The 21,814-nt window shown below is 37.1% G+C and overlaps 1 protein-coding gene across 14 annotated transcripts in view; it reads right to left on the minus strand.

Annotated features, from left to right (window-relative positions):
• The window catches only part of ZDHHC15 (zDHHC palmitoyltransferase 15), a 154,611-nt gene that overhangs the window by 119,238 nt on the left and 13,559 nt on the right, over nucleotides 1-21,814 (minus strand). For 7 of the 14 annotated variants that reach the window (XR_001755658.3, XR_938393.3, XR_007068181.1 and 4 more), the window contains exon 2: nucleotides 18,157-18,183. The exons of 5 other annotated variants lie outside the window; for them this stretch is intronic. Coding sequence is in view for 4 of the 9 variants with exons in the window: in NM_144969.3 (NP_659406.1) it covers nucleotides 18,157-18,183 (27 nt within the window). In the remaining 5 variants the exon portion in view is untranslated. Of the gene's footprint in view, nucleotides 1-17,391; nucleotides 18,132-18,156; nucleotides 18,184-21,814 lie in introns of those variants that run through there. 2 more of the 14 variants (XM_024452342.1, XM_047441869.1) reach the window with 1 other exon arrangement.

Here is a 21,814-nt window from a genome sequence, read left to right on the forward strand (position 1 = left end):
GATCCAAACTAAGAAGAACTCTCTGAATTGCAGATAAAGAATTCAGAAGGTTGATTATTAAGCTACTCAAGGAGGCACCAGACAAAGGTGAAAACCAGCTTAAAGAAATTAAAAAACAACACAAAATATAGATGAAAAAGTCTAGAGAGAAATAGAGATCATAAAAGACAAACACAAATTCTGGAAATGAAAGACATACTTAAAGAATTGCAAAATACACTGGAAAGTTTCAACAAAAGAATTGAACAAAGAGAAGAAAAAACTTCAGAGCTCGAAGAGAAGGCTTTCAAATTAAACCAATCTGACAAAGACATAGAAAAATAATTAAAAAATGAACAAAGCCTTCAAAGATTTTGAGATTATGTCAAATGTCCAAACATAAGAATAACTGTTGTTCCTGAGGAAAAAAAATCTAAAAGTTCGGACAACTTATTTGAGGGAATAATCGAGAAAAACTTCCCTGGTCTTGCTACTGATCTAGACATCCGAATACAAGAAGCCAAGAACACATGGGAAATTCATCGCAAAAAGATCATCCCTAGGCATACAGTTATCAGGTTACCTAAAGTCAAGATGAAGGAAAGAATCTTAAGACCTGTGAGGCAGAAGCACCAGGTAAACTATAAAGAAAAACCTAGCAGATTAACAGCAGATTTCTCAGCAGAAACCCTGCAAGCCAGAAGGGATTGGGGTCCTATCCTTAGCCACCTTAAACAAAATAATTGTCAGTCAAGAATTTTGTATCTGGCAAAACTAAGCTTCATAAATGAAGGAGAAATAAAGGCTTTTTCACAAAAACAAATGCTGAGAGAATTTGCCATTACCAAGCCAGCTCTACAAGAAATGTTAAAAGGAGCTCTATATCTTGAAATAAAACCTCAAATTACACCAAAATAAAATTTCCTTAAAGCATAAATCCCACAGGACATATTAAAAAATAACATAATGAAAAATACCCAAGATGGCTGAATAGGAACAGCTCCAGTCTACAGCTCCCAGCATGAGTGACACAGAGACGGGTGATTGCTGCATTTCCAACAGAGGTACCAGGTTCATCTCACTGGGGAGTGTCGGAAACTGGGTTCAGGACAGTGGGTGCAGTGCACCAAGCGCTAGCCGAAGCAGGGCGAGGCATTGCCTCACCTAGGAAGCACAAGGGGTCAGGGACTTCCGTTTCCTAGCCAAAGAAAGGGGTGACTGATGACGGCACCTGGAAAATCGGGTCACTCCCACCCTAATACTGCACTTTTCCAATGGTCTTAGCAAACGGCACACCAGGAGATTATATCCCACGCCTGGTTCGGAGGATCCTACACCCACAGAGCCTCCTTCATTGCTAGCACAGCAGTCTGAGATCAAACTGCAAGGCGGCAGGGGGGAGGAGTGCCCGCCATTGCCTAGGCTTGAGTAGGTAAACAAAGCTGCCTGGAAGATTGAACTGGGTGGAGCCCACCACAGCTCAAGGAGGCCTGCCTGCCTCTGTAGACTCCACCTCTGGGGGCAGGGCACAGACAAACAAAAGGCAGCAGAATCCTCTGCAGACTTAAATGTCCCTGTCTGACAGCTTTGAAGAGAGTAGTGGTTCTCCCAGCACGCAGATGGAGATCTGAGAACGGACAGACTGCCTCCTCAAGTGGGTCCCTGACCCCTGAGCAGCCTAACTGGGAGGCACCCCCGAGTAGGGGCAGACTGACAACTGACATGGCAGGGCACTCCTATGAGACAAAACATCCAGAGGAATGATCAGGCAGCAACATTTGCTGCTCACCAATATCCGCTGTTCTGCAGCCTCCACTGCTGATACCCAGGCAAACAGGGTCTAGAGTGGACCTCCTGAAAATTCCAACAGACCTGCAGCTGAGGGTCCTCACTGTTAGAAGGAAAACTAACAAACAGAAAGGACATCCACACCAAAAACCCATCTGTACATCACCATCATCAAAGACCAAAGGTAGATAAAACCACAAAGATGGGGAAAAAACAGAGCAGAAAAACTGAAAACTCTAAAAATCAGAGGACCTCTCCTCCTCCAAAGGAATGCAGCTCCTCACCAGCAATGGAACAAAGCTGAACGGAGAATGACTTTGACGAGTTGAGAGAAGAAGCCTTCAGACAATCGAACTACTCCGAGCTAAAGGAGGAAGTTCGAACCCATGGCAAAGAAGTTAAAAACCTTGAAACAAATTAGAGGAAAGGCTAACTAGAATAACCAATGCAGAGAAGTCCTTAAAGGACCTGATGGAGCTGAAAAACAAGGCACAAGAACTATGTGACGAATGCACTAGCCTCAGTAGCCGATTCGATCAACTGGAAGAAAGGGTATCAGTGATGGAAGATCAAATGAATGAAATGAAGCGAGAAGAGAGGTTTAGAGAAAAAAAGAATAAAAGAAACGAACAAAGCCTCCAAGAAATATGGGACTATGTGAAAAGACCAAATCTACGTCTGACTGGTGTACCTGAAAGTGACAGGGAGAATGGAACCAAGTTGGAAAACACCCTGAAGGATATTATCCAGGAGAACTTCCCCAACCTAGCAAGGCAGGCCAACATTCAAATTCAGGAAATACAGAGAACGCCACAAAGATACTCCTCGAGAAGAGCAACTCCAAGACACATAATTGTCAGATTCACCAAAGTTGAAATGAAGGAAAATATGTTAAGGGCAGCAAGAGAGAAAGGTCGGATTACCCACAAAGGGGAGCCCATCAGACTAACAGATGATCTCTCAGCAGAAATTCTACAAGCCAGAAGAGAGTGAAGGCCAATATTCAACATTCTTAAAGAAAAGAATTTTCTTGGCGATGTGGGCTCTTTTTTGGTTCCATATGAACTTTAAAGTAGTTTTTTCCAATTCTGTGAAGAAAGTCATTGGTAGCTTGATGGGGATGGCATTGAATCTATAAATTACCTTGGGCAGTATGGCAATTTTCATGATACTGATTCGTCCTCCCCATGTGCATGGAATGTTCTTCCATTTGTTTGTATCCTCTTTTATTTCATTGAGCAGTGGTTTGTAGTTCTCCTTGAAGAGGTCTTTCACGTCCGTTGTAAGTTGGATTCCTAGGTATTTTATTCTCTTTGAAGCAATTGTGAATGGGAGCTCACTCATGATTTGGCTCTCTGTTTGTCTGTTATTGGTGTATAAGAATGCTTGTGATTTTTGTACATTGATTTTGTATCCTGAGGCTTTGCTGAAGCTTATGAAAAAATGCTCACCATCACTGGCCATCAGAAAAATGCAAAACAAAACCACAATGAGATACCATCTCACACCAGTTAGAATGGCAATCATTAAAAAGTCAGGAAACAACAGGTACTGGAGAGGATGTGGAGAAATAGGAACACTTTTACACTGTTGGTGGGACTGTAAACTAGTTCAACCATTGTGGAAGCCAGTGTGGTGATTCCTCAGGGATCTAGAACTAGAAATACCATTGGACCCAGCCATCCCATTACTGGGTATATACCCAAAGGATTATAAATCATGTTGCTATAAAGACACATGAAAATGGATGTTTACTGCAGCACTATTCACAATAGCAAAGACTTGGAACCAACCCAAATGTCCAACAATGATAGACTGGATTAAGAAAATGTGGCACATATACACCATGGAATTCTATGCAGCCATAAAAAATGATGAGTTCATGTCCTTTGTAGGGACATGGATGAAATTGGAAATCATCATTCTCAGTAAACTATCGCAAGAACAAAAAACCAAACACCGCATATTCTCACTCATAGGTGGGTATTGAACAATGAGAACACATGGACAAAGGAAGGGGAACATCACACTCTGGGGACTGTTGTGGGGTGGGGGGAGGGGGAGGGATAGCTTTAGGAGATATACCTAATGCTAAATGACGAGCTAATGGGTGCAGCACACCAGCATGGCACATGTATACATATGTAACTAACCTGCACATTGTGCACGTGTACCTTAAAACTTAAAGTATAATAATAATAAAATAAAAGAAAAAAAAGAAAAGAATTTTCAACCCAGAATTTCATATCCAGCCAAACTAAACTTCCTAAGTGAAGGAGAAATAAAATCCTTTACAGACAAGCAAATGCTGAGAGATTTTGTCACCACCAGGCCTGCCCTAAAAGAGCTCCTGAAGGAAGCGCTAAACATGGAAAGGAATGATCAGTACCAGCCACTGCAAAAACATGCCAAATTGTAAAGTCCATCGAGGCAAGGAAGAAACTGCATCAATTAACGAGCAAAATAACCAGCTAACATCATAATGACAGGATAAAATTCACACATAACAATATTAACCTTAAATGTAAATGGGCTAAATGCTCCAATTAAAAGACACAGACTGGCAAAGTGGATAAAGAGTCAAGACCCATCAGTGTGCTGTATTCAGGAAACCCATGTCATGTGCAGAGACACATATAGGCTCAAAATAAAGGGATGGAGGAAGATCTACCAAGCAACTGGAAAACAAAAAAAGGCAGGGGTTGCAATCCTAGGCTCTAATAAAACCAACAAAGATCAAAAGAGACAAAGAAGGACATTAGATAATGGTAAAGGGATCAATTCAATAAGAAGAGCTAACTATCCTAAATATATATGAACCCAATACAGGAGCACCCAGATTCATGAAGCAAGTCCTGAGTGACCTACAAAGAGACTTAGATTCCCACACAATAATAATGGGAGACTTTAACACCCCACTGTCAATATTAGACAGATCAACGAGACAGAAAGTTAACAAGGATATCCAGGAATTGAACTGAGCTCTGCACCAAGCGGACCTAATAGACATCTACAGAACTCTCCACCCCAAGTCAACAGAATATACGTTCTTCTCAGCACCACACCATACTTATTCCAAAATTGACCACATAGTTGGAAGTAAAGCACTCCTCGGCAAATGTAAAAGAACAGAAATTATAACAAACTGTCCCTCAGGCCACAGTGCAATCAAACTAGAAATCAGGATTAAGAAACTCACTCAAAACTGGACAACTACATGGAAACTGAACAACCTGCTCCTGAATGACTACTGGGTACATAACAAAATGAAGGCAGAAATAAAGATGTTCTTTGAAACCAATGAGAACAAAGACACAACATACCAGAATCTCTGGGACACATTCAAAGCAGTGTGTAGAGGGAAATTTCTAGCACTAAATGCCCACAAGAGAAAGCAGGAAAGATATAAAATTGACACCCTAACATCACAATTAAAAGAACTAGAGAAGCAAGAGCAAACACATTCAAAAGCTAGCAGAAGGCAAGAAATAACTAAGATCAGAGCAGAACTGAAGGAAATAGAGAGACAAAAAAATCCTTCAAAAAATCAGTGAATCCAGGAACTGGTTTTTTCAAAAGATCAACAAAATTGATAGACCGCTAGCAAGACTAATAAAGAAGAAAAGAGAGCAGAATCAAATAGATACAATACAAAATGATAAACGGGGTATCACCACTGATCCCACAGAAATACAAACTACCATCAGAGAATACTACAAACACCTCTATGAAAATAAAATAGAAAATCTAGAAGAAATAGATAAATTCCTCGACACATACATCCTCCCAAGACTAAACCAGGAAGAAGTTGAATCTCTGAATAGACCAATAAGAGGCTCTGAAATTCAGTCAATAATTAATAGCTTACTAACCAAAAAAAGTCCAGTACAAGATGGATTCACAGCCGAATTGTACCAGAGGTACAAGGAGGAGCTGGTACATTCCTTCTGAAACTATTCCAATCAATAGAAAAAGGGGAAATCCTCCCTAATTCATTTTATGAGGCCAGCATCATCCTGATACCAAAGCCTGGCAGAGACACAACAAAAAAGGAGAATTTTAGACCAATATCCTTGATGAACATCCATGCAAAAATCCTCAGTAAAATACTGGCAAATGGAATCCAGCAGCACATCAAAAAGCTTATCCACCATGATCAAGTGGGCTTCATCCCTGGGATGCAAGCCTGGTTCAACATACGCAAATCAATAAACTTAATTCAGCATATAAACAGAACCAACGACAAAAACCATATGATTATCTCAATAGTTGCAGAAAAGTCCTTTGACAAAATTCAACAGCCCTTCATGCTAAAAACTCTCAGTAAATTAGGTATTGATGGGACGTATCTCAAAATAATAAGAGCTATCTATGACAAAACCACAGCCAATATCATACTGAATGGGCAAAAACTGGAAGCATTCCCTTTGAAATCTGGCACAAGACAGGGATGCCCTCTCTCACCACTCCTATTCAACACAGTGTTGGAAATTCTGGCCAGGGCAATAAGGCAGGGGAAGGAAATAAAGGGTATTCAATTAGGAAAATAAGAAGTCAAATTGTCCCTGTTTGCAGATGACAGGATTGTATATCTAGAAAACCCTATCATCTCAGGCCAAAATCTCCTTAAACTGATAGGCAACTTCAGCAAAGTCTCAGGATACAAAATCAATGTACAAAAATCACAAGCATTCTTATACACCAATAACAGACAAACAGAGAGCCAAATCATGAGTGAACTCCCATTCATAATTGCTTCAAAGATAATAAAATACCTAGGAATCCAAGTTACAAGGGACGTGAAGGACCTCTTCAAGGAGAACTACAAACCACTGCTCAATGAAATAAAAGAGGATACAAACAAATGGAAGAACATTCCATGCTCATGGGTACGAAGAATCAATATCGTGAAAATGGCCATACTGCCCAAGGTAATTTACAGATTCAATGCCATCCCCATCAAGCTACCAATGACTTTCTTCACAGAATTGGAAAAAACTACTTTAAAGTTCATATGAAAGAAAAAAGAGCCCACATTGCCAAGTCAATCCTAAGCCAAAAGAACAAAGCTGGAGGCATCATGCTACCTGACTTCAAACTATACTACAAGGCTACAGTAACCAAAACAGCATGGTACTTGTACCAAAACAGATATATAGACCAATGGAACAGAACAGAGCCCTCAGAAATAATGCCGCTTATCTACAACCATCTGATCTTTGACAAACCTGACAAAAACAGGAAATTGGAAAAAGATTCCCTATTTAATAAATGGTGCTGGGAAAACTGGCTAGCCAGATGTAGAAAGCTGAAACTGGATCCCTTCCTTACACCTTATACAAAAATTAATTCAAGATGGATTAAAGACTTAAATGTCAGACCTAAAACCATAAAAATCCTAGAAGAAAACCTAGGCAATACCATTCAGGACATAGGCATGGGCAAGGACTTCATGTCTAAAACACCGAAAGCAATTGCAACAAAAGCCAAAATTGACAAATGGGATCTAATTCAACTAAAGATCTTCTGCACAGCAAAAGAAACTACCATCAGAGTGAACAGGCAACCTACAGAATGGGAGAAAAGTTTTGCAATATACTCATCTGTCAAAGGGCTAATATCCAGAATCTACAATGAACTTAAACAAATTTTCAAGAAAAAAAACAACCCCATCAAAAAGTGGGCAAAGGATTTGAATAGCCACTTCTCAAAAGGAGACATTTATGCAGCCAAAAGACACATGAAAAAATGCTTATCATCACTGGCATTCAGAGAAATGCAAATCAAAACCACAATGAGATACTATCTCACACCAGTTAGAATGGCGATCATTAAAAAGTCAGGAAACAACAGGTGCTGGAGAGGATGTGGAGAAATAGGAACACTTTTACACTATTGGTGGGACTGTAAACTAGTTCACCCATTGTGGAGGTGAGTGTGGCGATTCCTCAGGGATCTAGAACTAGAAATAGCATTTGACCCAGCCATCCCATTACTGGGTATATACCCACAGGATTATAAATCATGCTGCTATAAAGACACATGCACACGTATGTTTATTGCGGCACTATTCACAACAGCAAAGACTTGGAACCAACCCAAATATCCAACAATGATAGACTGGATTAAGAAAATGTGGCACATACACACCATGGAATACCATGCAGCCATAAAAAATGATGAGTTCATGTCCTTTGTAGAGACATGGATGAAACTGTAAAAGATCATTCTCAGCAAACTATCACAAGGACAAAAAACCAAATACCGCATGTTCTCACTCATAGGTGGGAATTGAACAATGAGAACACATGGACACAGGAAGGGGAACATCATACACTGGGGACTGTTGTACGGTGGGGGGAGGGGGGAGGGATAGCATTAGGAGGCATTCCTAATGTTAGATAATGATTTAATGGGTGCAGCACACCAACATGGCACATCTATACATATGTAACTAACCTGCACATTGTGCACATGTACCATAAAACTTGAAGCATAATTAAAAAAAAAAAAAGAAAAACAAGGTATTCAGGTAACAACTAGTATAATGAATAGAACATTAGTTCACATCTCAATACTAAAGTTGAATATAAATGGCCTAAATAATCTATTTAGAAGATACAGAATGGCAGAATGGAGAAAAATCTACCACTCAAGTATCTCCTGTCTTCAAGAGTCTCACCTAAGACATATGGACTCACATAAACTTAAGGTAAAGGTGTGGAAAAAGATATTCAATGCCAATGGAAACCAAAAGTGAACCAGAGTAGCTATTCTTATATCAGACAAAACAGACTTTAAAGGAACAAATTTAAAAAAGACAAAGAGAGACATTATATAATGATGAAAAATTTAGGGCAATAGGAAAATGTAGCAATCCTAAATATATATGCACCTAACACTTGTGCTCCCAAATTTATGAAACAATAACTATTAGACCTAAGAAACAAGATAGATGGCAACACAGCAGTAGTGGGGGACTTCGATACTCAACTGACAGCACTAGACTGGTCATCAAGACAGAAAGCCAACAAAGAAACAATGTATTTAAGCTATATACCCTACAACAAATGGAATTAACAGATATTTACAGAATATTCTACCAAACTACTGCAGAATATACATTCTTTTCATCAGCACATGGAACATTTTGCAAGATAGATCATATGACAGGACACAAAAAAGTTTCAATAAATTTAAGAAAATTGAAATTATATCAAGTACTCTCACAGACAACAGTGGAATAAAATTGGAAGTTAACTCCAAAAGGAACCTTCAAAACTATACACATACATGGAAATTAAATAATCTGCTCCTGGATCAACAGTAAAATCAAGATGGAAAGGAAAAAATTGTTCGGACTGAATAATAATAGTGACACAACCTATTGTGTCTCTGGGATACAGCAAAAGTGGTGCTAAGAAGAAAGTTTGTAATATTAAGCATCTACATCAAAAAGTCTGAAGAGTGCAAACAAACAATCTAAGCTCACACCTCAAGAAACATGAGAAACAAGAACAAACCAAACCAAAGCAAGTGGAAAAAAAAAGTAACAAAGTCAGAGCAGAACTAAATGAAATTGAAACAAAAAATACAAAAGATAAATAAAACAAAAAGCTAGATATTTGAAAGATAAACAAAATCAATAGACCATTAGCGAGATTAACCAACATAAAAAGAGAGAAGTACAAATAAGCTCAATTAGAAACGAAATAGGAAATATTACAACTGATAGCACAGAAATACAAAAGATCATTGAAGGCTACTATGAATACCTTCAAGACCACAAACTAGAAAACCTAGAGGAGATGGATAAATTCCTAGAAATATTCAAGCTTCCTAGATTAAACCAGGAAGAAACAGAATCTCTGAACATCCCAATAACAAGTAGCAAGATAGAAAGAGTAACAAAAAAATGCTAACAAAAAGAAATCCAGGACCAGATAAATTCACAGCTGAATTCTATCAGACATTCGAAGAATAGGTACTCCTACTGAAACTATTCCAAAAGACAGAGACAAAGGGAATCCTCCCTAAATCATTCTATAAAGCCAGTATCGCCCTAATACCAAAACCAGGAAAGGACATAACAAAAAAAGAAAACTACAGACCAATATCCCTGATGAATAGAGATGCAAAAGTCCTCTACAAAATACTAGCTAACCGAATCCAATAGCATATCAAAAAGATAATTCACCATGATCAAGTGGTTTCCTACCAAGGATGCAGGGCTAGTTTAACATACGCAAGCAATAAATATGATACACCATATAAATGGAATTAAAAACAATAATAATACGATTATCTCAATAGACACAGAAAAAGCATTTGATGAAATCCCGCATCCCTTTATGATTAAAACCCTCAGCAAAATCAGCATAGAAGGGATACACCTTATGGCAACGAAAGCCATCTATGACAAACACACAGCCAACATTACACTGAATGGGGAAAAGCTGAAAGCATTCCTCCTGAGAACTGGAAAAAGACAAGGATGCCCACTTTTTTTTTTTTTTTTTGAGACAGTGTTTTGCTCTTGTTGCCCAGGCTGCAGTGCAATGGCGTGATCTCAGCTCACCGCAACCTCCACCTCCTGGGTTCAAGCGATTCTCCTGCCTCAGCCTCCTGGGTAGCTGGGATTACAGGCATGCACCACCACGCCAGAATAATTTTGTATTTTTTGTAGAGACAGGGTTTTTCCATGTTGGTCAGGCGGGTCTCAAACTCCTGACCTCAGGTGATCCGGCTGCCTCAGCCTCCCAAAGTGCTGGGATTACAGGCGTGAGCCACCGTGCCTGGCCACCCACTTTTACCACTTATAATCAACATAGGATCAGAAGTCCTAGCCAGAGCGATCAGACAAGAGAAAGAAACTGGTAAAGAGAGAAAAAAAATCCAAATCTGTAGAGAAATTCAAACTGTTGCTGTTTACCGATGATATGATCGTACACCTAGAAAACCCTAAAGACTCATCCTAAAAGCTCCAGATCTGGTCAATGAATGCAGTAGTGTCTGGATATAAAATCAGTGTACATAAATCAGTAGCACTGCTATACACCAACAACGCCCAAGCTGAGAATCAAATCAAGAACTCAACCCCTTTTACAATAACTGAATAAAGCAACAACTTAGGAATATACCTAACCAAGGAGGTGAAAGACTTCTACAAGGAAAACTACATAACACTGCTGAAAGAAGTCATAGATGACACAAACAAGTAGAAACACATCCCATGCTCATGGATGGGTAGAATCAATATTGTGAAAATGACCATACGACAAAAGCAATCTACAGATTCAATGCAATTCCCATTAAAATATCATCATCATTCTTCACAGAACTAGAAAAAAATTCCTGAAATTTGTATGAAACCAAAAAAGAGCCCACATAGCCAAAGAAAGGCTATGCAAAAAGAACAAATCTGGAGATATCACATTACCCAATTTCTAAATATACTACCAGGCTATAGTCAACAAAACAGCATGGTACTTGTATAAAAACAGGCACACAGACCAATGGAACAGAATAGAGAACCCAGAAATAAAGCCAAATACTTAGAGCCAACTGATCTTTGAGGAAGAAAACAAAACACAAAATGGGGAAAGGACACCCGATTCAACAAATGGTGCTGGGATAGTTGGCAAGCCATATGCAGAAGAATGAAACTGAAGCCTCATCTCTCATCATATACAAAAATCAACTCAAGATGGATCAAAGACTTAACCTAAGACCTGAAATCATAAAAATTCCAGAAAATAACATGGGGAAACTCTTCTAGACTTTGGTTTAGGCAAAGAGCTCATGACCCAGACCCAAAAGCAAATGCAACAAAAACAAAGATAAATAGATCGGACTTAAACTAAAAAGCTTCTGCACAGCAAAATAAATATTCAGCAAAGTAAACAGAAAATCTACAGAATGGGAAAAAATATTCTTAAACTATGCATCTGATAAGGGACTAATATCCAGAATCTACAAGGAACTCAAACAAATCATCAAGAAAAAACAAATAATCCCATTAAAAAGTGAGCTAAAGACATGAATAGACAATTCTAAAAAGAAGATATACAAATGGCCAACAAACATGAAAAAATGCTGGACATCACTAATGATCAGGGAAATGCAAATCAAAACCACAATGAGATACCACCTTATTCCTGCAAGAATGGCCATAATTTAAAAATCAAAAAACAATAAACATTGGCATGAATGTGGTAAAAAGGGAACACTTTTACACTGCTAATGGGAAGGTAAACTATTACAACCACTATGGAAAACATTACGGAGATTCCCTAAAGAACTGAAAGTAGATCTACCATTTGACTCAGCAATCCCACTACTATGTATCTTTGGTTTAAAATAAAATAATAAAATAAGTCATTATAAGAAAAATACACTTGCACATGTATGTTTATAGCAGCACAATTCACAATTGCAAAAATATGAAACCAGCCCAAATGCTCATCAACCAATGAGTGGATAAAGAAAATGTGGTGTATACATATCATGGAATAATACTTAGCCATTAAAAGGAATAAGATAATGGCATTTTATCTGGATGGAGTTGGAGACCATTATTCTAAGTGAAGTGTCTCAGAAATAGAAAACCAAACATCTATGTTTTCAGTTATAAGTGGGAGCTAAGTTATGAGGATGCAAATGCATAAGAATGGACTTTGGGGATTTAGGGGAAGGATGGGAGTGGGGTGAGGGATAAAAGGCTACGCACTGGGTTCAGTGTACAGTTTGGGTGATGGGTACACCAAAATCTCAGAAATCACAGCTAAAGTACTTATCCATGTAATCAAACACCACCTGCTCCCCCAAAACTATTGAAATAATAATAATAATAATAATAAATGGTTAAATAAATCTAGTATACCCATACTATGAAATACTCGGAGATCATTTTAAAATGAAATATATTTGTATATAGTAACATGGAAATACATTTATGATATATTATTAAAAAATATAGTTTCAGAAAAATATGCACAGTATCACTCAATTAAAATAAACAACCAAGCCTATATAAATATACATACCTATACTTATATGTTTCTATGTGAATGCAAAGAAAAAGATCTCAAATACAAATAAAACTAAATATAGCAGTTGTCTATGAATAGTGATAGAGGAGGCAGTGTGAAGATAACTGGAAATTTTCATTTTCTAGATTTCTATATTGTTTGACTTTTCAATAAATATTTTTGTAACAAAAATATCTATATTTAAATGTCTTTTAGGAGTGGGTTAGCATCTAAGGGAGGCTTTTATCTGATCTCTAAACCTTAATTATAAAGTAATTTTATAATAATAAATATAAAATAATATATTATTGAGAGCACTGAGATAACTAATTAAAACCAACCTGAAGATTTCCTATACAGTCTGGAGGTGAGTCTAAAAGATCATACTGTAGCCCAGACGTTTTACTCTCAGTGCCCTCTCACCTTCCTGATGTTTAATGTATTACCAATAAATTAAGGTTAGTATAATTGAGAATCTGACACAAAGCAGATCTTTCTTTTATTTTTAAAGTTTTATTTTCGGTTCGGGGGCACATGTAAAGGTTTCTTATATAGGTAAACTTGTGTCAAAGGGGTTTGTTGTATAGATTACTTCGTCACCTAGGTATTATTAATCTTAGTACCCAATTGTTATTTTTTCTGTTCCTCTGCCTCCTCCCACTTTCCATCCTCAAGTAGAACCCAGTGTCTGTTGTTCTCTTCTTCATGGTTCATGAGTTCTCACAATTTAGCTCCCACTTATAAGTGAGAACATGTGGTATTTTCTGTTCGGTAAAGATAATAGCCTCCAGCCCCATCCATGTTCCCACAAAAGACATGATCTCATTCTTTTCTATAGCTGCACAGTACTTCATGGTGTGTATGCACCACATTTGCTTTATCCAATCTGTCATTGATGGGCATTTAGGTTGATTCCACATCTTTGCTATTGTGAATAGTGCTGCAATGATCACTTGCTTGCATGTGTCTTTATGGTAAAATGATTTATATTACTCGGGGAATATACACCCAGTAATGGGATTGCTGGGTCGAATGGTATTTCTGTTTTTAGGTCTTTGAGGAATCACCACGCTGTCTTCCACAATTGTTGAACTAATTTGCACTCCCACCAACAGTGTGTAAGTGTTCCCTTTTCTCCACAATCTCACCAGCATCTATTATTTTTTGACTTTTTAATAGTAGCCATTCTGAGATGGTATCTCATTGTGGTTTTGATTTGCAGTTCTGTAATGATGAGTGATATTGAGCTTTTATTCACATTTGTCGGCCACAGGTATGTTTTCTTTTGAAAATTGTCTGTTCATGCCCTTTGCCCACTTTTCAATGGGATTATTTGATGTTCTCTTATAAATTTAAGTTCTTTATAGCTGCTGGATATTAGACTTTTTTCAAGTGCATAGTTTGCAAAAATTTTCTTCCATTCTGTAGGTTGTCTCCCATTCTGTAGATTGTTTACTCTGTTGATAGTTTCTTTTGCTGTGCAGAAGCTCTTCAGTTTAATTAGATCCCATTTGCCAATTTTTGCTTTTGTTAGAAGCAGATATTTCTACACTTTGGATTTTCAAATGGAAACCTAATATTCTTGTATCAGTTTGCTAGGGCTGCCATAATAAAGTAACACAGACTGGGTCTCTAAATGGCAGAAATTTATTGTCTCACAATTCTGGAGGTTAGAAGTCCAAGATAAAAGTGTCAGCAGGATTGGCCATTTTGAAGGCCTCTCTCCTTGGCATGTAGATAGTCATCTTCTCCCTGTGTCTTCACATGGTCTTCCTTCTGTACCTATCTGTGTCCAGATTTCCTTTCCCTATAAGGACATCAGACTGGATTACAGCCCACCCTAGTTGACCTCATTTTAACTTAACTACCTCTTTAAAGACCTTATACAAATAGTCACATTCTGAAGTACTGAAAGTAAGGGCTTAAACAGATGAATTTTGAGAGGACACAAGTTGACCCATAACAGTTCTGTTATTTAGAAATTACATCTGTTTCTGAAAAGGTAAATAATTACAACCATTTTATGAATGAAATCAGAAAATTTAGTATGCAAACCATTTAAAATGCAAATTAATTATTAGATTAGTTGAACTTTTGTTTAAAATGATTAATGGACCTTTTTGCAGAAGAGCAACTGTGGGCAACGCATTATTTTAATTATATGTGCATCATCTGATGGATCATGCCTAAAGTTCATATCATTCCTAAATTTATCTCTTAATCATCACCTCATCCCTGGACTCTACTAAATCCCTAAGCTCCAGATCATCCCAGATTTTTACTTCAAGTGTGGAGCAGGGAAGATTTCCCAGTCATGATCTTCAAAATATGGATAGTATGATGCTGAATGAAATCATCTATGCAATATATTTATGAAATCAAAATAAATACATTATCATGTTTTTAAAAGTATGATCTATGGGAAAACATATGAACTCACATATTTAAAAAAGATCTAGTATTTGATGGCACAACAGGGTGACAACAGTCAATATTTTACTGTATATTTAAAAATAACTAAATGGTATAACTGGAATATTTATAATACAGAGAAATAATAAATGTTTGAAGTGATGGATATCCCATTTACCCTGATGTGATTATTACACATTGTATGCCCATATCAAAATATCTCATGTACCTCCTAAATATATACACCTACTATCTATCCAAAAAAATTAAAAAATAAAAAAAGAGTATCTGAATCCTGCAAAACCAAGGCAGATATTATATATCTATAATATTCAGGATTGTGATTCAGATGATCTGAGCTTTAGTCCTTTCTGTGCAGTAGAATCAGCATAACTAGGTCAATATATTTTACTTCTTTGGTTCTGAATTGTTCTCCCTATAAAATACAAATGTATGGATTTTGACAATCTATTCACAAAAGTAGTCATAAGGAATTATAATCCTGAAATATGTTATGCTTCTTAGAAGAGAGATCTTTCAGATCCTCTCCAATGTTAATAACAATAAAAATCATAATCATAATACTATTAACTATTATTTTGTATTTATCATGTGTCAGGCACTATACCAAGAGACTTACATACATAATCTCATTAGTGCTCAAAATAACCATGAAAGATCACAGAGGAAGAAAGTGAAACTTAGAGAAGTTAAGTTCCCCAAGATCACATATATAGTAAGTGGCAAAGTCAATACTTGATCCGAGGTAGATCTAACACCAAAGTCTGGTTATTTGCTACTGATATAATGCTTTTTAACAGTGCATTAGAGAGTGAAATTTATCAGGAATTGTATTTGTTTCCTAGGGCTGTGGTAATAAATGACCACAAGCTGGGTGGCTTAAAATAATAGAAATTTATTCTCTCAGAGTTCTGGAAGCTAGAAGTCTGAAATCAAGGTGTAGGCAGGGCCATACTCTTGCTGAAATGCCCAGGGGAGTATCCTTCTTTGCCTCTTTCTAGTTTCTGAAGGTTGCGGGCAATCCATAGTGTTACTTGGCTTGTGGCAGCATAACTCCAGACTCTGTCTCCATTTTCATATGGCTGTCCTCTCTCTGTATGTGTCTGTGTATCCAAATTTCCCTCTTCATATAAGGATACCAATGACTGTATTAGGGCTCACTTGAATCCAGTATGGCCTCATCTTAACTTGATTATATCTGAAAAGACCATCTTTCCAAATAAGGTCACATTTACAAGTTCCAGGTGGATGTGAATTTTAGGGAGACACTCTACAACCCAGTACAGGAATCATTATAAGTAGATAAGAAATGGGAAAACTTTTGCAGTATGTTTGACTATGGTTTTCTTAAGCTTTGGAGACTGAAAGGTTATGTGATTTGAGGCTTTAATTTCACTGCTTTTTGTGTTTTTTTGCCAATGCCAAATAATGTTCTTACTGGCAGTCATATACTGTATTGTGTTTTACTTTGATAGTGCAGTATAATTTGAAACCTATTACATAGAATTGTGAAAATATAATTTGAAGATGAGCAACTGTGGACAATGCATTATTCTTGATTATATGTGAATCATCTGATGGATCATGCCTAATGTTCATCTCATTCCTAAATTCATCTCTTAATCATCACCCCATCCCTGGACTCTACTAAATTCCTAAGCTCCAGATCATCCCAGATCTGTCACAAATCCACAGGATTAGAAGGGACCCCAGATAGTCATTAGACTATGACTCTGTTTCTAGTCAAGTCTCACTGGCTTATGCCATTATTCTTATTATGGTACAGTATCATCTAAGCCTCTACTCAATTTGTCTTGAAAATTTATTGTGGAAAATATTTATATATAATTATTTAATATTTTATTCAGAAGATGATCTCTGACCTTAAGGGTCATGCATACGAATAAGAGGCAACTCAAGACTTGCTCTAATTTTGTAATAATGGTAGGAAACATGCACTGATTCACCAGTACCTTCTGTTTACCACTGTTCTAAGTGCTCTACATACATTTACTCATTATATCTTGACACTTCTATGTAACAGGTAGTATTATCATTTTTATTCTATACATGAATAAAATGAACACAATGAGGTAAAATAATTTACTAGGAAATAGCAGAGCCAGGATTTGAATTCAGACAGTCTAGCTACAGAACTCACACTTTTGTATACTATGGTCTACTGTCTTCCAACCACTCTGCTCTCTTGCCTCTATAGCCAATGCCTCTGTTGAATGAATAACAGCAAATTGGAGCTTTAAAACAGCATAATATGAATGCTAGGTAGGTTAACGAATTATAACAATTAATTCCCCTGAAGTTCTCAACTGGCTGTATAAAGTGGCTACATAAACACTCACAGTTATTACTGATAAAATAATGTAAAGCTAAAGGTTTATTAAGACTAATGATTAGCTTACACTTTTTAAATGGAAAAATGCCACAATCTCTTTAGAAAGGTAGTATATTTTGCAGGTCAAGCCAAGATGGTGGTGAGGAGCAGAGAGGAGCACAATAAATATACTGGAACTGTGATGGTGAAGGAGTTAGCCTTTAAAGTCTCTTCTGGGGCCTTTACTCCATGCCTTAAAGAGGAGATGGACTGGGCAGAAAGGCAACATACCTAGGACAACAGTGTTGAACAAAGAGACAGCCTAGGGTCACTATGTCAGACAGAGTGCTTAACTGTGTCCTTCTCTGTCATAAATCCTGATAATTTCCAATTCTTGCCCTACAGCCAAAGGGGACACTGAAAATGTTTTTCTCTATCTCTGTGTAAGCTTCCTGAAAACCATCATTCTAAACTTTCTCCTCACCCAAGTTTATTTCTGGGAAAATTGCTCGGTCTATAGGCTTTTATGTTATTTACTTTTAGATGAAAAAAAGGACACGGTCCTGATCAATACAATTTCCAACATCATCTTACCTTTTTCTGCTGGGCTCAAAACAGTCACTGTGAAGAGACAGGAGAAAGAGAGACAGACAGACAGACAGAGATGGATGAGAGAGAGAGAGAGAGAAATTAGTTATATTTAAAAAGTCTTGTCTAACTCATTTTCCACAGCATCATTTGAGTAATTTATATAATAGTACTTTAGGAAACCACTAGGCAAAGATGAGGGAAGGCAAGGGTGATTACATTCCATCCTTTGCTATCTTCCTTTGTCTTAAACCTTCAGCAAGGCTTTCAATCATGAGAAGCTGCTTAATCAAGATTATTTTCAATGTTTCTTTCTCCATTGGGCTCTAATTAGCTGGGTAGAGATCCAGCAATAAAAGGCCTATGTAAACATGCTTTCTTTTTTTTATTATTATTATACTTTAAGTTTTAGGGTAAATGTGCACAACGTGCAGGTTCGTTACATATGTATACATGTGCCATGTTGGTAAACAAACAAAACAAACAAAAGATGGTTTTCATACAAAATGATCAACAGTTAAGGGTCAGAAAAATAGGGAAAAAGTCCAGAGAATGAGACTATGTTCTAAGGGCTATTTCTTCAGGCCTTTCATCAGTCATACTTTCTTTTTTTCTTCACATATAGGTCTATTTTATTGGGTCTTAAAAATTCTCCTTTTCATGATTATTTGAATGGATTTGTTACTATGGTTACATTTCACCTGTGTTAAAAATCTGACCAGACAATGTTTTTCTTTTTTCTAATGAGTCTGCTTGAAGATTGATACCAACTCCTTGTTGTTGTCTTCCAGTTAAACAACCAATACTGGTTAAGAATGCTTGAAAGAGGCACATATGCTACTTTCCCAATACAAATGGAAGTGGAAATGAAGCATTGATCAGTCAACCTGGGACTTCATGATTTTGTATGTACATGCTGCATGACTGCATTGGTTCCACTAGGCCCTGAATTGGACTAGTAACATTTCTTTTTTAAAAAACTTTAAAATGAAGTGAGAGAGAAAGCATAGTTTCTTGGAGACCAATATTAATAAGGAGGAGCTGATAAATTGCTGTTTGGTATGTTTCCTATCCCTGGCTGAATACTTGCAGCTAAACAAGAAGTGGAGGTGCAACTCCCATTTGCTTGGCTACTTGCTAAAGTACTGTGGGTGAGGGAAAGTCACTTAGTACTTGTAGATAGTGAGACGAGACGTGTATACAGGAGTGGGAGCCGGTGAATTCTCCAGGTGGGGAACAGCTATCTGTAAATAACTGCAGAACTTTTAAGTGCAAATGGGATTGGTTTATATGACCCAAGAGCAGAGGGCAGAAATAGAACCAATAGGTTAAAGCTGCAGGTTAACACATTTTAGCTCAGTATTAGAAAAAATAATGACAACGATAATGACGATGACAATGACTAGCAGCCTTGGGAAAAAGTGTTTCCCATTACATACACTTGGAAATGTTGTAGAGGACATTCAGACATTAGTTTGGCAGTGGAATTGACTTGTAAAGTCTTTATTACCTCTGAAATTGTGTAGGAAGTAAGTCCAAGGGAATTTTTTTTTTTTGCAAACTTCCCTTTTGGAAATTACATACTTTTGAGGACAAAAGGACATCTATTCTAAAAGATGTGGCACTTATCTTGGTACTTCTGCCTTTCCTGTATTTTTCTAATAATGCCTTTTGCACTATTAAAGAAAGAGGCTAGAATATTTCAGTCATATTTAAAATGAAAATGTTACAAGAGTCACAACAAACTTTTACAAAATGAATCTGTTATCACTAATCTCATGGGTAAGTGTACATTTAGCCATGCTATGGGTAACTTGGCATGAAGATTTTAGAGTGATGTGGTGATACATGTAATTATACACCTTCTCTGTTTCTTTAAGTTTCACTCACTACTAGGGGGTAAATTATTGGAGTTATCATCAAATGGCTTTTTGCACTGTCTCTCCTTTTTTCTTTCATTATTTATTGACTCTTTGCAAGTAGTTATGGAGAAAAATTAAGGAAGGATGGTATATATGGAATAGTTTTTCATCACAGACAACCAGTGTTAAAACCAAAGCATAGTTTATAATTTCCTTTAAATAGATGCATATTGTAGGGTTCACAGAAGTATACAAGTAGAAAAAGCCTAATTTGGGGCTAGATGGAAAAGGTAAAAAGTCGTAGAAAGGACACTGAAGAAATTCTACAGCAGTGCGATCCAATAGATATAATGTGAGCCAGGTAGTTTAAATTTTCTAGTAGGAACATTTTTTAAAAAGTTAAAGAATGCCAAGTGAACTTAATTTAAAAAATATATTTTACCAATATATCAAAATATTTTCATTTGAACATGTTTTTTTAAATTATACTTTAAGTTCTAGGGTACATGTGCACAACATGCAGGTTCATTGCAGATGTATACATGTGCCATGTTGGTATGGTGCACCCATTAACTCGTCATTTACATTAGGTATATCTCCTAATGCTATCCCTCCCCCCTCCCCCCACCCCACAATAGGCCCCAGTGTGTGATGTTTCCCTTCCTGTGTCCAAGTGTTCTCATTGTTCAATTCCCACCTATGAGTGAGAACATGCAGTGTTTGGTTTTTTTTGTCCTTGCGATAGTTTGCCGAGAATGATGGTTTCCAGCTTCATCCATGTCCCTACAAAGGACATGAACTCATCCTTTTTTATGGCTGCATAGTATTCCATGGTGTATATGTGCCACATTTTCTTAATCCAGTCTATCACTGATGGACATTTAGGTTGGTTGCAAGTCTTTGCTATTGTGAATAGTGTTGCAATAAACACACGTGTGCATGTGTCTTTATAGTAACATGATTTATAATCCTCTGGGTATATACCCAGTAATGGGGTGGCTGGGTCAAATGGTATTTCTAGTTCTAGATCCTTGAGGAATGGCCACACTGTCTTCCACAATGGTTGAACTAGTTTCCAGTCCCACCAACAGTGTAAAAGTGTTCCTATTTCTCCACATCCTCTCCAGCACCTGTTATTTCCTGGTTTTTAATTAACGCCATTCTAACTGGTGTGAGATGGTATCTCATTGTGGTTTTGATTTGCATTTCTCTGATGGTCAGTGATGATGAGCATTTTTTCATGTGTCTTTTGGCTGCATAAATGTCTTCTTTTGAGAAGTGTCTGTTCATATCCTTCGCCCACTTTTTGATGGGGTTGTTTGTTTTTTTCTTGTAAATTTGTTTGAGTTCTTTGTAGATTCTGGATATTGGACCTAAAACCATAAAAACCCTAGAATAAAACCTAGGCAATACCATTCAGGACATAGGCATGGGCAAGGACTTCATGTCTAAAACACCAAAAGCAATGGCAACAAAAGCCAAAATTGACAAATGGGATCTAATTAAACTAAAGATCTTCTGCACAGCAAAAGAAACTACCATCAGAGTGAACAGGCAACCTACAGAATGGGAGAAAATTTTTGCCATATACTCATATGACAAAGGGCTAATATCCAGAATCTTCAACATGTTATCCACATAAAAATTATTGTGATAATTTATATTCTTTTTTTCACTAAGTTTTGGAATGCTGGTGTATATTTTATGCTTCCAGAACATCTGAATCCAGATGACACATTTCAAGTGTTTAATAGCCACATGTGGCTAGTGGCTACAGAATTAGTGGAGTTCAAAAGGGACTT

The sequence above is a fragment of the Homo sapiens genome, chromosome X (genome assembly GCF_000001405.40).
Source record: "Homo sapiens chromosome X, GRCh38.p14 Primary Assembly".
NCBI lineage: Eukaryota > Metazoa > Chordata > Mammalia > Primates > Hominidae > Homo > Homo sapiens.